The sequence below is a fragment of the Homo sapiens genome, chromosome 11 (assembly GCF_000001405.40).
Source record: "Homo sapiens chromosome 11, GRCh38.p14 Primary Assembly".
Classification (NCBI taxonomy): domain Eukaryota; kingdom Metazoa; phylum Chordata; class Mammalia; order Primates; family Hominidae; genus Homo; species Homo sapiens.
Genome location: NC_000011.10, coordinates 66493305 through 66510634, shown reverse-complemented (window position 1 = coordinate 66510634; position 17330 = coordinate 66493305). Strand labels below are relative to the sequence as shown.

Here is a 17330-nt window from a genome sequence, read left to right as displayed (position 1 = left end):
GGCCCCGCCCTCGCGTAACGCCCAATAGTGCCCGAGCACAGGGAAGGGCGAGTACAAAGGTTCCGGGCGCCAAGCTTTCCCACCCAGGCTCAGGAGGACGCGCTGGCCACCTTCCTGGGTTGAGGAATCTGTCTCAGATTCCTCAAAGATATTTATCTTTGCTCCTTCCCAGTCAGAGCCACCTTTCCAGGCGTCTGGGTCCTACAATCTCTGGGTCAGCCACAGAGCCCTCTGGCTTCCAGGGTTGGAAAGAAGCCCCTTCTAGCATTTATGAGCAGCAAAAAGAACTCCTCCTGTCTCCATCTTCATGGTTACCCGGTTGAAAAGGACCATGTCCTGCCTTGCTGCGTTACTGTAGAGGTCCAGGCCCAGAGAAACAAAACACGAGGGTTATGGGACAAATGCAGAGGATTCTGACTGAAGTTGAGTTTGTAGGTTCCCAGAACTTTTTTTTTTTTTTTTTTTTTTTGAGACGTAGTCTCGCTCTGTCGCTTGCGCTGGAGCGCAGTAGCGCGATTTCGGCTCACCGCAACCTCCGCCTCCCGGGTTCCAGGGATTCTCCTGCCTCAGCCTCCCGAGTAGCTGGGATTACAGGCGCATGCCACCATGCCCAGCTACTTTATTTTTTAGTAGAGACGAGGTTTCACCATATTGGCCAAGCCGGTCTCGAACTCCTGACCTCGTGATCCCCTCGCCTCGGCCTCCCAAAGTGCTGGGATTACAGGCATGAGCCACCGTGCCCGGCCCCAGAACATTTAAAAATGCAAGGAATGCCACAAAGGAGAGCTGCAAAAATTGTGCTATGTTCAGCTCTGTGACTGCGTATCCTCATCTAGAGATAATGTCAACATCCTGTTGTGGAAGGGAGGCTAAAAATGGCCCTCCTTGCCCCCTCCCCAGGCCTTGAGCCCATCACTCTGCTGGGAGTAAATGAGAAGACAGGCAAAGGCAAGGAGGAGCCACACACGCCGCAAAGATGGTGGTTGTCTCTAATATTTATTTGTCTGGTTATAAAATTAATATGTGAGGAGCATTGGATTTGGTGAGAACGTTTTGAACCCTAGCTGTCACGTGCCACCTGCGGGATCTAGACCAGTGACTTCTCAGAACTGCCATTTCCTCATCTGGTAGACAGGATGGTAAGCCCTGTCTTGCTCACTCCACGTATGGCAGTGCAGATGAAATGAGATCACAGAGGGGAAGCAATTGGCAGGCTGGAAAGTGCTGACAAATGGAAGGGGTTGTGTCACCACCCTCAGCTGAGGTAGTACCAAGGTCCAAGCTCCTGCCCCTCCCCCTCCCCAGCCCCTAAATACACACACGAATGGAGGGCCACTTGCAGCCTTGGTCTGATGGAATTGGGGGCAAGGCCACACATCTTCCTCAAGCTTGGCCAGATGGGGCCTCACTGGGGCCCTTCCAGAATCGGGCATCGGCTGTGGCCAGCTGTGTGAGGATCTCCTCCAACTCGGGTCCATCCTCTGGGAAACGCTCAGAGAAGGATCGGATGAGGCCAGCAGCTGACGCCTCGTATTCCAGAAGCTGCACGTCTGAGCCTGGGGAGGAGATGGAGAGAAAACAGCAGGGAAAGGTCTGAATAGGGAAACTGAATCATCATAAAAATCTTAATAATCACAATTACAGCAGCAGCTGTTTCTTACTGAGCTCTGCCAAAAAAACCTGTGCTCTACGTTTTAGGTTAATTACTTAATTTACTCTTTACAGTAACCCTGTGAGGAAGGAAATACTACAGGGGGAGTATTAAATGCATTGCTGCTTTCGTTCATTCAGTCAATCAAATAAAGATTTAGGCTGGGCATGGTGGCTCATGCCTGTAATCCTAGCACCTTGGTAGGCTGAGGTGGGAGGATCACCTGAGGTCAGGAGTTTGAGACCAGCTTGGCCAACATGATGAAACACTGTTTATACTAAACATACAAAAAAATTAGCTGGGCGTGGTGGCATGAGCCTGTAGTCCCAGCTACTCGGGAGGCTGAGGCTGGAGAATTGCTTGAACCCGGGTGGCAGAGGTTGCGGTGAGCAGAGATCGTGCCACTGCACTCCAGCCTGGGTGACAGTGAGATTCCACCTCAAAATAAATAAATAAATAAATAAATAATAAAAGACACCAGGTGCCACACTAGGTGAAACAGATACAGTCCTTGGTGTCCTGAAGCTCACAATTCAGCAACGACTTCATCTGTCTACTGTGGGACCTGGGGCAAGTGTTGCAACCTCCCAAGCTTCAGTCTCCTCATCTGTAAAGGAGCTGCAGTGATGACATAGTCACACATCGAGGGGGTGCTCAACAAATGCTAGCCACCATGGCATCATTATCTCCGAACCTGTTTACTGATTTATTAAATGGGCTGTTCTGAGGGTCCCCTGAATACCCCCGGGAAGCACTGCCCTCAAACACACTTCAACTGCTCTACCCTCTCTGTGCACCTTGTCGTGTTCCATGACATCACAAGCTGCACAGCAGCAAAGAGCACAAGCTCTGGAGTTCAAGTTCTGGCTCTGCCACCCAACAGCTTTGTGACCGCAGGCAAATACACAGCCCCTCTGTGCCTCATTTTCCAGATGAAAAATGAGGATAATAACCATTTCTCTCTGGGTTGTTAGGAGTTAAGCCATAGAAAGCTTTTACAGCGACCTGGCTGGGTGTGGTGGCTCACACCTGTAATGCCAGCACTTTGGGAGGCTGAGGCGGGTGGATCACTTGAGGTCAGGAGTTCGAGATTAGCCTGGCCAACATGGTGAAACCCCATCTCTACTAAAAATACAAAATTAGCTGGGCATGGTGGTGGGTGCCTCTAATCCCAGCTTTTTGGGAGGCTGAGGCCGGAGAATCATTTGACTCCGGAGGTGGAGGTTGCAGTGAGCCGAGATCTCACCACTGCCTGCGGGACAGAGTGAGACTCCACCTCAAAAAAAAAAAAAAAAACTTTTTACAGTGCACCACCATCACAACCTTTGAAAATCCAACCTGTTCTTCAGATCTAGTGGGAACCACCCCTTCCTCCCCAGAACGTTCCCGGATACTCTTGAAGATGGATGCGATCTTCCCTCCTCTAAGTGTTCAGAGTTCTGTTTATATGTTTTGGCCACTCATTAACACTTCCCTTGTATGATTATGATGATGATTATTATTATTATTTTTTTTTTTAGATGGAGTCTCGCTCTGTCACCCAGGCTGGAGTGCAGTGACGCAATCTTGGCTCACTGCAAGCTCCGCCTCCCGGGTTCAGGTCATTCTCCTGCCTCAGTCTCCTGAGTAGCTGGGACTACAGGCGCCTGCAACCATGCCTGGCTAATTTTTTGTATTTTTAGTAGAGACGGGGTTTCACCGTGTTAGCCAGGACGGTCTCGATCTCCTGACCTTGTGATCCACCTGCCTCAGCCTCCCAAAGTGCTGGGATTACAGGTGTGAGTCACCGCGCCCGGCCCCCTTGTATGATTATTTATCTCCATATCTTATCATCCCCAGTGAGCTGTGATCACCTCCGGATCCCTAGTGGCTCCCCCATGGCTCGCACAGGGCTGGACATATCAAAGCAATTGAGAGTATTGTCCATGTGGCTGGCATGATTTATTAATGCACTCATTTGACAGTCACTGAGCAACTCCAGTGTGCCAGGCTGTGCATGAGGCACTGGGGTATGCTGCTCCTCCCATCATGAGAAGTGACCACCAAGAAAATGGGCAAGCGTGATGGGCGCTAGAAGAAAATGAAACTGGGTAGCAGAACAGAGAGGGACCGAAGCAGTTACTTTAGGTGGAGGGGTCAGAGACAACCTCTCTCACAGGGTGCCGTTTTACAAGGAGCGGAAGGACAAAAAGAACCAGACAGGCAAAGATCTGGAGGAAGATCATGCCAAGCAGCAAGAACAGCTTATTCAAAGGCTGTAGGAGTGGACCCAGCTCAGTGGGTAGAAGAAACAGAAAGGTCGGGAGACTGGAGTACAGTGAGCCAGAGAAGGGGTGGTGAGGCTGGCAAGGGTTGGGGCCAAATCCCAGGAAGCCTCTGGAGAGCATGGAAAAGCATCTAGAATGAGCGTCTTAATAAATGCTTTTTCCGGCTGGGCATGGTGGCTCACGCCTGTAATCCCAGCACTTTGGGAGGCCGAGGAGGGTGGATCACCTGAGGTCAGGAGTTCGAGACCAGCCTGGCCAACATGGCAAAACCCTGTCTCTACTAAAAATACAAAAATTAGCCGGGCATGGCGGCACGCGCCTGTAATCCCAGCTACTCAGGAAGCTGAGGCAGGAGAATCGCTTGAACCCGGGAGGCAGAGATTGCAGTGGGCCAAGATCGAGCCACTGCACTCCAGCCTGGGCAACAAGAGGGAAACTCCGTCTCAGAAATAAATAAAATAAAATAGCCGGGTATGGTGGCTCACGCCTGTAATCCCAGCACTTTGGGAGGCTGAGGTGGGTAGATCACTTGAGGTCAGGAGTTCGAGACCAGCCTAGCCAACATAGTAAAACCCCGTCTCTACTAAAAAAAATACAAAAATTAGCTGGGTGTGGTGGCGGGCGCCTGTTATACCAGCTACTCGGGAGACTGGGGCAGGAGAATCGCTTGAACCCAGAGGCGGAGGTTGCAATGAGCCGAGATTGTGTCACTACACTCCAGCCTAGGCGACAGAGTGAGACTCCGTCTCAAAAAAAACAAAAACAAAAACAAAAACAAAACCAACCCAAAAACCAAATAAATAAATGCTTTTTCCTCACCAATAATAGGTAGTGACTTTTTGCAAATATTATTCTATGTAACCCTCACAACTGCCCAGGACAATGCTTTTTTTTTTTTTTTTTTTTTAAAGAGTTGAGGTCTTGCTCTGTAGCATTGAACTCCTGGGCTCAAGCAATCCTCCTACCTCACTCTTTCAAGTAGCTGGGACTATAGGCAGGGGCCACCATGCCTGACTCAACCACTCTTAATTTGACTCTTGGCTCCTCCACTAAAAAGCCATAAGCCTTGTGCAAATTACTCTCTGTGCCTCAGTTTCCTTACCTGTAAAATGGGGATAACAACAATACCTACCTTATTGGGCTACTGCAAGGATTTAAAAGGTTAATCCCCAGAAAGCACTTAGAAACTCTAAGAAGGAATTCAGGTTCACGATAACATCAGCAAGCAGTCCACACTGCCTTTATGAATGAAGACACCAAAGTCTAGAAATGTCAGGTGACTAGGCCAAAGTCACAGGGTGGTTCTGAAGCTGGTGCTCTAACCTCTCCATAACACACATCATCTTAGGTATCTCAAGTGACAAGTAGCAGGAAAGATGAGTCAAGGGGTGAGAGGAAAGTGAAGGCAGTAAGGGGCTGGAACCCCAGGGGGTCTGAATACGAAAGATACAAGCACCGTGTGGCCAAGGCTCTGGAATTGTCGCTTGAGAAGGAAGCGGGATGATGCAGCTGTTGATCACCATCCTGGATGTGACCGAGTCCACTGTCCCCTGGGTTTCACTAGGCTTGCTGGATCCCAGCTCCCTCCTCACCTGACCCCCAGCCTGGGTACCCAACAGGTCTAATTCTTTGGTATGAACGCCTGGCTTCCCCCTAAGTCTGCATGTTCTGCTATCCCCTGCTCTGGTGGTCTTCTTCAAATCTTCTGTCACTGTCTTACAACTTGCATGACTGTGTGTGTGTCGGGGGGGTGGTGGGTGGTGACAGATACCAAGATAAGGGCCTGAGGTTTGGCATGGGAAGGACCTTGGCAGAAAGGGAAGGGCCATCCCAGGCTGGGTTAGGTTCTTATTGAGCCCTGGGATGGGTTCTTACTGCTTCCCAGAGGGCCCTGTGTGGTGCTCATCAAGGGAGCTCAAGAGCTCCCTCATTACCTCATTACCTTCAAGGCGAGTGTTGGGCTGAACAATGAGCTTCCGAGATTCCTTACGCAGCAGCACCGTGTCCCTGAGGGTGAGGAAGCACTCGGGGGGCGCATCAGTGACTGTTGCATACCCCTCGTACAGGGCCCGCCCTCCGGCCACATCCCCTGTGGACTTCAGCACCTGTGAGAAGGATGGAGTAAATGTCTAGGATGGGCAGTTACCCGGTGTCCACAGGGCTCTGCCATAGGCCACAGCTGATTGTGGTCAGCCCTGGACAGTCTGTGCTATGGTTTGAATGTGTCCCCTCCAAAATTCTGGTGTTGAAACTTATGGTTAAGTTTCAACTTAACCATTAAGGCTCCTTCCTCTTGAATGGGATTAAGGCCCTTATAAAAGAGGCTTCAGGCTGGGTGTGGTGGCTCACACCTGTAATCTTAGTACCTTGGGAGGAGGAGGCAGGGGATCACTTGAGCCCAGGAGTTTGAGACCAGCCTGGACAATATGGCAAGACCATATCTCTATGGAAAAAAAAAGGCCAGCCATGGTGGCTCATGCGTGCAATCCTGGGCACTTGGGGAGTCCGAGGTGAGAGGATTGCTTGAGTTTGAGACCAGCCTGGTTAACATAGTGAGACCCCGTCTCGTCTCTAAAAAAAAGGAAAAGAAAGAAAGAAAAAGGAAAACAGGCTTCATGCCTGTTTGGCCCTGTTGCCATTTTGCTTTCCACCATGTGAGGCCACAGCATTCCTCCCATTCCTCTCCTACAAATAAGGTATCTTCAACAAGGTATCATCTTGGATGGAAGAGAAGAGCAGCCTTCACCAGAAAATGAACCAGCTGGTACCTTGATCTTGGACTCCCCCACCTCCAGAACTGCCAGAAATAAATTTGTGATCTTTTTTTTTTTTGAGACAGAGTCTTGCTGTCACCCAGCCTGGAGTGCAATGGCACAATCTTGGCTCACTGCAACCTCTGCCTCCCGGGTTCAAGTGATTCTCCTACCTCAGCCTCCTGAGTAGCTGGGACTACAGGTGCGTGCCACCACGCCCGGCTAAATTTTTGTATTTTTAGTAGAGATGGGATTTCACCATGTTAGCCAAGATGGTCTCCATCTCCTGATCTCGAGATCTGCCCCGCCCCGGCCTCCCAAAGTGCTGGGATTACAGGCGTGAGCCACCATGCCTGGCCAATTTCTGTTCTTTATAAATCACCCAGCCTCTGGTATTTTTGGTGTGTTACAACAGCACAAGACAGACTAAGACACTCTGCAAAATGCTGGGCCCTGTCACTTACAGGCAGTGTAACCTTGGACAAGTTACTAAACCACTCTGACCTGTTATCTCTAAACAAGAATAGTTCTACTCTCTCATAGTGTTACTGTGCTGAATGAGTGAGAAACACAGATCAGTGATTAGCATAGAGTAAATGCCCACAAAATTAAAGCTAATGTTTCTCGTTTGATTATCTCATTTGACATGTAGACAAGGCAGGTATGACCATTACCCTTTATAAAATAAAACATTTCTGGCTGGGCACGGTGGCTCATACCTGTAATCCCAGCACTTTGGGAGGCCGAGGCAGGCGGATCACCTGAGGTCAGGAGTTCAAGACCAGCTTGGCCAACATGGTGAAACCCTGTCTCTACAAAAATATAAAAACTAGCCAGGTTTGATGGTGGTGCCTGTAGTCCCAGCTATTCAGGAAGCTGAGGTGGGAGAATCGCTTGAACCCAGGAGGTGATGGATGCAGTGAGCCAAGATTGCACCATTGCACTCCAGCGTGGGTGACAAAGTGAGACTCCATCTCAAAAAAATAATAAATAAATAAAATAAAACATTTCTTACACATACAAGATACAGTATGTATACCGTAAAGAATATTAAAACAAACACTCGGGCCGGGCGGGTGGCTCATGCCTGTAATCCCAGCACTTTGGGAGGACGAGGTGGGCGGATCATGAGGTCAGTAGATCAAGACCATCCTGGCTAGCACTGTGAAACCCCGTTTCTACTAAAAATACAAAAAATTTGGTTGGGCGTGGTGTCTCACGCCTGTAATCCCAGCACTTTGGGAGGCCGAGGCGGGTGGATCACGAGGTCAGGAGATCGAGACCATCCTGGCTAACATGGGGTGAAACCCCATCTCTACTAAAAAATACAAAAAATTAGCCAGGCGGGTGCCTGTAGTCCCAGCTACTCGGGAGGCTGAGGCACGAGAATGGCATGAACCTGGGAGGCGGAGCTTGCAGTGAGCTGAGATCACGCCACTGCACTCCAGCCTGGGCGACAGAGTGAGACTTGGTTTCGAAAAAAAAAAAATTAGCTGGGCATGGTGGCACACGCCTATAATCCCAGCTACTCGGGAGGCTGAGGCAGGAGAATCTCTTGAACTCGGGAGGCAGAGGCTGCAATAAGCCAAGAACTTGCCACTGCATTCCAGCCTGGGGGACAGAGCGAGACTCCCATCAAAAAAAAAAAAAAGACGGACACTCATACAACCCCCACCTCACCTCAGAGTTAGTTCAGCTGCTTCTGCTTGACTGCACTCTGTGGCTGTCCCCATCTAAGGAAACCACTATCCTTGATATTGTACTTTCTTTTTTTTGAGATGGAGTCTCGCTGTTGCCAGGCTGGAGCGCAGTGGCGTGATCTTGGCTCACGCAACCTCCACCTCCCAGGTTCAAGCAATTCTTCTGCCTCAGCCTCCTGAGTAGCTGGGACTACAGGTGTGCACCACCACGCCCAGCTAATTTTTGTATTTTTAGTAGAGACGGGCCGCCATGTTGGCCAGGATGGTCTCAATCGTTTGACCTCATGATCTGCCCATCTTGGCCTCCCAAAGTGCTGGGATTACAGGCGTGAGCCACCGTGCCCAGCCGATATTGTAGTTTTTAAAAAACTCTCTTGCTTTCCCTGAGTTTTACTCTCAATCATATATTAAGTTCTTGCCTGCTTTTTTTTTTTTTTTGGAGACAAAGTCTCAGTCTATTACCCAGGCTGGTGTGCAGTGGCAGATTATCAGCTCACTGAAACCTCCACCTCCCAGGTTCAAGTGATCCTCCTGCCTCAGCCTCCTCTGTAGCTGGGACTACAGGCACCTGCCACCATGCCCACCTAATTTTTGTATTTTTAGTAGATGTGGGGTTTCACCATGTTGGACAGGCTGGTCTCGAACTCCTGACCTCAGGTGATCCTCCCGCCTCAGCCTCCCAAAGTGCTGGGATTACAGTGGTGAGCCACTGTGCCCGGCCGGTTTTTGAACTGTATATATTGTGATTTTCTTTTTCTGCTTGGATTATGTTTGAGATTCATTTGTGCCAAAACATTCAGCTATAGTTCCCCTTCTCACTGCTGTGTATGTAGTCTTTTACTTATAAACACACAACTTCATCTCCTCTACTGTTCATGTGTAATTTGGTGCTTTTTTTTTTTGAGACGTAATTTTCACTCTTGTTGCCCAGGCTGGAGTGCAGCAGCACGATCATGGCTCACTGCAATCCCCACCTCCCGGGTTCAAGTGATTCTCTTGTCTCAGCTTCCCGAGTAGCTTGGAGTACAGGATGCGCCACCATGCCTGGCTAACTTTTTTGCACTTTTTTTTTTTTTTGAGACAGAGTCTCACTCTGTCGCTTGGGCCGGAGTTCAGTGGCACGATCTTGGCTCACTGCAACCTCCACCTCCTGGTTCAAGCGATTCTCCTGCCTCAGCCTCCTGAGTAGCTGGGACTACAGGCAAATGCCACCATACCCGGCTAATTTTTTATTTTTAGTAGAAAAGGGGTTTCACCATGTTGGCCAGGCTGGTCTTGAACTCCTAACCTCAGGTGATCTGCCTGCCTCGGCCTCCCAAAGTGCTGGGATTACAGGTGTGAGCCACCATGCCCAGCCTTTTTGTACTTTTAGTAGAGATGGGGTTTCACCATGTTAACTAGGCTGGTCTGAAACTCCTGACCTCAGGTGACCTGCCCGCCATGGCCTCCCATAGTGCTGGGATTACAGGCGTGAGCCAGTGCGCCCGGCCGGTGCTTTTTGCTAATAATGCTGCTGTGAACATCCCTGTATGTCTCCTGATGAACAGATGCAAGTTTTTCCAGAACTGATTCTGTGTCGGTGACAGGAGTGCTCAACTTTAAGAGATGACGCTGCTGTTTCTTAAAATTCGTATGTAATTCAGCCTTCCAAAAGCAGTGGATGGCAGTCCTCATTGCTCAGTCTACTAAGTGGATGCTGGCAGTTGTTAATTCCTGCCATGCTGGTGGGTATCAATTGTAACTTATGCAGTTTAGGTTGAGGTTGCCTAATTACTAACAAGGTTGAGCATCTTCCCTTAGTTGATCAAGGGCTATTCATTTTCCTCTTCTGTTCATTTTTGCTTATTTTATGTTGGGTTATCTTTTCTCCTTCACTTTTTTAAAAAAAGTTTCTTCTTTCTTTATTTTTTGAAATGGAGTCTTGCTGTATTGCCCGCGATGGAGTGCAGTGGCATGATCTTGGCTCACTGCAACCTCCACCTTCCAGGTTTGAGCAATTCTCCTGCCTTAGCCTCCTGAGTAGCTGGGATTACAGGCACCTGCCAATACGCCTGGCTAATTTTTTATGTTTTTGGTAGAGACAGGTTTCACCATGTTGGCCAGGCTGGTCTCGAACTCCTTACCTCAAGTGATCTGTCTGCCTTGGCCTCCCAAAGTGCTGGGATTACAGGTGTGAGCGACTGTGCTCGGCTGAAAAGTTCTTTATTTATTTTAAATATGAACCCTTTGTCAGTACAGTAGTCCCCATATATCCATGGCGTATATGTTCCAAGACCATGTAGTGGATGCCTGAAGCCATGGACAGTACAGGGCACTATATATACACTGTTTTTTTTTCACCATACATACACACCTATGAGAAAGTTTAATTTATAAATTAGGCACAGGAAGAGATTAACAATAACTACTAATAAAATAGAACACCTGTAACAAAATAACGCGATAAAAGGTGAATATAGCCTCTCTCTCAAAATATGTTTTTTTTTTTCTTTTTGAGGCAGTGTTTCGCTGTGTCACCCAAGCAGGAGGGCAGTGGCACAATCTTGGCTCACTGCAACCTCCAACTCCCAGATTCAAGCGATTCTCATGCCTCAGCCTCCTGAGTGGCTGGGATTACAGGCGCCTGCCACCATGCCCAGCTAATTTTTGTATTTTTAGTAGAGATAGGGCTTCACCATGTTGGCCAGGCTGGTCTTGAACTCGTGACCTCAGGTGATCAGCCCGTCTGGGCCTCCCAAAGTGCTGGGATTACAGGCGTGAACCACCACACCCAACCTAAAAATATCTTGTTGTATTTTACTGTGGCTAACTGCAGCCGCATAAAGCAAAACTGTGGATAAGCGGGGCCTAACCATATGTGTTATAAATATCCTATCCTAGTGTAAGACCTTTTTTTTTTTGAGGCGGAGTTTTGCTCTCATTGCAGAGGCTAGAGTGCAGTGGCGCAATCTCGGCTCACTGCAACCTCCGCCTTCAGGTTTAAAGAGATTCTCCTGCTTCAGCCTCCCAAGTAGCTGGGATTACAGGCACCAGCCACCATGCCCAGCTAATTTTTTTGTATTTTTAGTAGAGATGGGGTTTCACCATGTTGGTCAGGCTGGTCTCGAACTGCTGACCTCGTGATCCACCCGCCTCGGCCTCCCAGAGTGCCGGGATTACAGGCGTGAGCCACCGCGCCCAGCACCTAGTGTAAGACTTGACACCTTCTTTATGGTAACTTTTGATTAATATGTTATCTTTTCTTTTTCTTTTAGAGACAGAATCTAGTTCTGTCACCCAGGCTAGAGTGCAGTGGTGATCAGGGCTCACTGCAGCCTCTACCTCCCATGCTCAAGTGATCCTCCCATCTCAGCCTCCTGTGTGGCTGCGACCACAGGCGTGCATCACCACACTTGGCTATTTTTAAAATTTTTTGTAGAGATGAGGTCTCACTATGTTGCCCAGGCTGGTCTTGAACTCCTAGACTCAAGGAATCTAGCCTCCCAAAGTTCTGGGATTACAGGCATGAGCCATCACGCCAGGGAAACTGAGCAGTTTTATTGGTGTACAAAGTTCATATTGTATATTTACTCTCAGCATCACTCAGCCATATATCTTATGGCTTATCAAACCTTCTCTCTGGGGCTGTTTCTTTTTCCTAAATTATATCCTGTAGAAGTGTTGTTACTGAGGGTTTATTAACGGTAAACTGTTTTTGTTTGTCCAAAAATGTCCTTCGTTCTTAAAAGATGTCCTGGCTGGGCACAGTGCCTCACACCTGTAATCCCAGCACTTTGGGAGGTCAAGGCGGGTGGATCACCTGAGGTCAGGAGTTCGAGACAAGCCTGGCCAACATGGTGAAACCCTGTCTCTACTAAAAATACAAAAATTAGGCCAGGCCCGGTGGCTCACGCCTGTAATCCCAGCACTTTGGGAGGCCGAGGCAGGCAGATCACGAGGTCAGGAGATCGAGACCATCCTGGCTAACACGGTGAAACCCTGTCTCCACTAAAAATACAAAAAATTAGCCGGGCATGGTGGCGGGCACCTGTAGTCCCTGCTACTCGGGAGGCAGAGGCAGGAGAATGGTGTGAACCCAGGAGGCGGAGTTTGCAGTGAGCACAGATCACGCCACTGCACTCCAGCCTGGGCGACAGAGCGAGACCCTGTCTCAAAAAAAAAAAATTAGCCGGGCGTGGTGGTGAAAGCCTGTAATCCCAGCTACTCGGGAGGTTGAGGCAGGAGAATTGCTTGAACCCAGGAGAAGGTTACAGTGAGCCGAGATCACGCCATTGCACTCCAGCCTGGGCAACAAGAGCAAAACTCTGTCTAATAAATAAATAAACAAACAAATAAATAAATAAAAGATGTCCTTATTCTTTTTTTTTTTTTTAGAGATAGGGTCTCACTCTGTCACCCAGGCTGGAGTGTAGTGGTGCAATCATGGCTTACTGCAGCCTCGACCCCTCAGGCTCAAGTGATCCTCCCACTTCCGCCTCCAGAGTAGCTGGAACTACAGGTGCGCACTACCATACCTGGCTAATTTTTGTATTTTTTGTAGAGACGAGGTTTTGCCATGTTGCCCAGGCTAGTCTCGAACTCCTGAGCTCAAGTGATCTGCCCTCCTTGGCCTCCCACAGTGCTGGGATCACAGGCGTGAGGCACCCGGTGCGCTTACATGTTTACTGGCTACCTTTCCTCACTGCAGCATAAGAAACTGCTCACAGCTTATTCTCCGTGCCTGGTAACACTCAGTGCCCCTGGAGAGGTTGGTGGGGACCCATCCAGACGAGAGGCCTTTGCTTACCTGAAGTCTCCGCAGGAAGCGCTCTAGAGCAGGCTTGCCCACAGACCGGATCTTGCTGCGGTCGAGGCGGACCCGGGCATCTGGGCGCCCATCGGAGCCTGTGGTGGGAGTGATGGTAACGAGTCCCTCGCCAGCCTCCAGCAAGACTCTCAGGATCACAAACCGGGCCTGCATATGGGCCTGCCGGAGCAGGGGAAAGACAGCATTTGTAGCCCGTATCAAGTGCTTGGTCCTAGGCTTGGTCCTTGGCTTGGTCCTTGGTCCCAGGCTTGGTCCTTGGTCCCAGTTGCCCATTAACTGGCAACTGTTATTGTCATTCTCCCCAACCCTGCGGGTCCTTTTCTGCTTATTCTCCTCCCCTCAAATGCTTCCTCCTTCCTCTTCTCACAGAGAGGGCAGGCTGCCCTAGGAGACAGGGAGGCCATTTCCAGGCGGGACCTGGTGCCCATGCTCCCCATGTCACCCACTGTGATCCCTGCTGCTCCAGATCCCCTGCTGAGGACAGCAGCTACCCCCTCCAGGGTCCCCAAACACTTTCTCCTCCACAACCTTGTTTGTGCTCAAAAGGGGAACCAAGTAGGCATCATTATCCCCAGTTTACAGATGATAAAACAGAGGCCCAGAGAGGTAAAGGGACTTCCTTAGGGGCACACAGCTAATAACGGAAGAGCCAGGACTCAGACCCACATTTCTGGACCCTGAATGACGTCACATCGCCTCCTCAAACCACACCTATTTGATTTTGTCAAAAAGTTTCTATTGCTGGTGGGATGCGGTGGCTCACACCTGTAATCCCAGCACTTTGGGAGGCCGAGGCGGGCGGATCACAAGGTCAGGAGATCGAGACCATCCTGGCTAACACGGTGAAACCCCATCTCTACTAAAAATACAAAAAATTAGCTGGGCGTGGTGGTGCATGCCTGTAATCCTAGCCACTCGGGAGGCTGAGGCGAGAGAATGGCGTGAACCCAGGAGATGGAGTTTGCAGTGAGCCAAGATGGTGCCACTGCACTCCAGCCTGGGTGACAGAGTGAGACTCTGTCTCAAAAGAAAAAAAAAATACAAAAAATTAGCCGGGTGTGGTGGTGCGCCTATAGTCCCAGCTACTCGGGAGGCTGAGGCAGAATTGCTTGAACCCGGGAGGCGGAGGTTGCAGTGAGCCGAGATCCGGCCACTGCACTCCAGCCTGGTGACAGAGCGAGACTTTGTCTCAAAAAAACAAAAACGAACAAACAAAAAAGTTTCTATTGCTTACCCCATATCCAAAGGACACATAACTGAGCCGTGGCACTGAATGGCCCTGTAGGCACTGTATGGATGCGAATCCTGGCTCTGCCACTTAGTGGCAAGTTGCTTCATCTCCTTGTGCCTCGACTTCCTCATCTCTAAAATGAGGGTAACAATAGCACCTACCTCCTGGGGTAGTTAATTCATGGAGGGCGTTTAGAATTGTGTGTGGCAGAGAGTGCGTCAACTGCGAGGAGTCCTAATAAAGTCACCTCATCTGATTCACCGTGAAATGGTGGCCGGGGAGAGTCCTACTCCCATTTCACAGAGAGGAACTCTGGGGCTCACAAGAGTGATGTGACTTGCCTCCCAAACAGTGGAGTCTAGCATTAAACCCAGTTCATCTGCCTTAAAGGTACAGTGGTCCCATCCTTGCACCCTGATCTTGGCACCCACTGCAGGCTCCCTTCCGCCTCCAGGGGGCTCCACCTAGGCCCTACCTGTCGCCAGTTGAAGGCCTCAGGTGTGTAGAACTCCAGAGCGAGCAGCCCGGCCCGAACCATGTTGAGCCAGTTCACGTAGATCACGTCCTCCGCATCAGCCCCCTCAAAGCCAAAGATCCTGTGAGAGGGGCAGGCAGGTGGCAGGATGGTCAGAGGCTGCCCTGTCCCCATCCCACTGGCCACTACCACCCACCCTCCACGCCCCCAGGGCTGGCCACTGCAGCGGGACAGCCCGCCCCTCGGCCCTGCTGCTCTTACTCCAGCACTTGCGGGTGGAGACAGAGGTAGAGACCCACGCTCTCAGCCCGGCACTCTTCGTAGCTGGAGGCGATGGTGCTGAACTTGCTATCCCAGGTCTCCCCGCTCCGATACCAGCTCTGAATCTGGAAAAGGAGCTCCACTGTCGGGCTTAAGGTGGCCACTGCCCCACCTGTGCCCACCCTCCCAGTACCCTGGGGCTCTGCTGAGGCCTCCCTCACCTGCTCGCCCGTCTCTGGGTTGATCACTGTTTCCTGGTCAAAGTTGAATGCTCCTTTTTCGTCCTGCAGAACACACGGTGGGTGAGGGAAAGGCGCCCCCAACTGGATCCAGGCCTCCAGCCCCAGAATCCACAGGCCGGAAAGTGGCTCAGGAAGGCAAGCGGGAGCGCAGGAGCGGGCGGCGGGAGCAGCAGGTCTGTCCACACACTGACGCCTGCACAGCCCTGAGCCCTGTGACGCTGGCTGCCTCCTCAGAGCCATTGGGAGCCTGAGAACCTGAGCTGCCTACCCCACCACACAGAGAGGAAAACTGAGGACCAGACAGCCGAGGGACTTGCCCCAAGTCCTGTGAGGACCCAGATCTGGTGTCTCCAGACCCCAGTGGGAGATGCCCCAATGGGTAGGCCAGACAGCCCAGCTGTGCCCACCACGGGCTCCTGGCACTGCCAGAGGAGGCCACGGTGTCATTCTCACCCTCCCACTGCATGCCATGCGTCTTTCATGCAGCATCCTTTGAATCCTCACAACCATCTTCCGAGGACAGTGCCACTATCACCCCACTTCACAGATGAGGAAACTGAGGCTCAGAGCCTAAGAGCCCCACACTGGAGTCAGAGCACACAACCTCCGTGGACGCTGTCTCTCAACACTAACACCTGTTTGCTGTCAGGGCTTACTGTGTGTTAGGGCTTACTGTCTTCACCTTTACTCCTCACAACAGCCCACACAGCAGGGGTCAGGAATCTCATTTTACAGATGGGCCAACTGAGGCTCGGTGAAGGTGCTGAATTATCCAAGGCCACACACAGCCTTGATAAAGTCTGGACAAGGCGTTTCGCCAGACTGCTGACCCAGCAGCTGTTCTGCGCATCCTCCTGACCCCAGGGCCCAGTTCCAGCCCTTCCTGATCCAGGGAAGCAGCCCCACACCCCGAGAAGCAGGACCCACCCAGAACCCCGCCCTCGGAGGGGAGGGGCCACACCTCACCCCATTTCTGGTCATCTTCATGCTGGGGGTCCACATCAGCTTTTCAGCCCCCCATAAATGACTGTCTGTGTTTCCATATTCCCTGGGTAGGTATGGAGGGGGCTCCAGCCACTCTGGCCGGCTGGCAAGAAGGGTCTGCTCTGGGGAGAAGTGGCTCCCTACGATACCCGGAAAAGCCCAGGTTCCACGGAACAGCAGCGCAAACAAAGACAGCACTGCTGCCTCAGATGGGAGCACCCAGAGATGCCCCCTGCCCCAAGTGTCTGTCCTGGGGCTGCTGGAGCCACGCCCTAAGCACGCCCTTAGGGTGTGCTTCCTTAGCCTGAGCCAAACAATTCCTCCTGGTGCGGGGAACAGCAGCTGAACTGTCCCGAAGGGCCCTCTACATCCAGGCTCTACATCCAGGCTCTACACCAGGCTCATCCCTGAGCCCCAGATGTACACCCAGGCTCTACATCCAGGCATCTGAGCTCCTGGGACATCTTGAGGGAGGGCAAGACAGGGTCTTCTCTGCCTAAGGGGCCATTTTCCCCACTCAACCCATAGCTCCTGAGGGCAGAGGCTGGAGCAGCTTCACCGCTGGGTAGGGCAGGTTGTGGGGAGTGGAGCTGTAGGCTGGGGTGCCAGGGCTGGCCACTGCCTTCTCACCTGTACGAAGAGCTTGCCACTGCCATGGCCCAGCAGCTCGTGCAGGCCCACCTGCACATCGAAGGAGGGCCCCTTCCAGAGGATGTACAGGTCCTGCCAAGACAAGCAGAGACCCGCGCTGTCCACTGGCCAGCCCTGGCTATACAGCCTGTCGGCCTCCCCTCCCCTGGGCCATGGACCCATCTCAGTGCATGTGCTTGGTAAAGGCCAACTGTGCTCCACCCCACAGCCCATTTCATCCTTGCAACAACCCAGGAGGAAGGGAGGGATGCCTCCCTAGTGTGACCCAAGAGGAAACTGAGGCTCCAAAGTCCACACGGTCACATGGT

The 17330-nt window shown here is 51.2% G+C and overlaps 1 protein-coding gene across 3 annotated transcripts in view, besides 1 other annotated feature; it reads right to left on the bottom strand.

The window, feature by feature from the left end:
- Positions 89-138: an enhancer, noted in NCBI's record as "active region_5046". NCBI's record gives its function as "activates an Ori minimal core promoter by ATAC-STARR-seq in GM12878 lymphoblastoid cells {active_cell/tissue: GM12878}" and the evidence as "EXISTENCE:reporter gene assay evidence [ECO:0000049][PMID:35858748]".
- Positions 978-17330, bottom strand: part of DPP3 (dipeptidyl peptidase 3) — a 29224-nt gene continuing 12871 nt past the window's right edge. For all 3 annotated transcript variants that reach the window (NM_130443.4, NM_005700.5, NM_001256670.2), the window contains 7 exons: positions 17002-17094; positions 15367-15429; positions 15146-15270; positions 14885-15005; positions 13158-13337; positions 5861-6023; positions 978-1556 (listed from right to left, as the gene is read on the bottom strand). In NM_130443.4, coding sequence (NP_569710.2) covers positions 1384-1556; positions 5861-6023; positions 13158-13337; positions 14885-15005; positions 15146-15270; positions 15367-15429; positions 17002-17094 — 918 coding nt within the window. In that variant the 3' untranslated portion in view covers positions 978-1383. The remainder of the gene's footprint in view (positions 1557-5860; positions 6024-13157; positions 13338-14884; positions 15006-15145; positions 15271-15366; positions 15430-17001; positions 17095-17330) is intronic.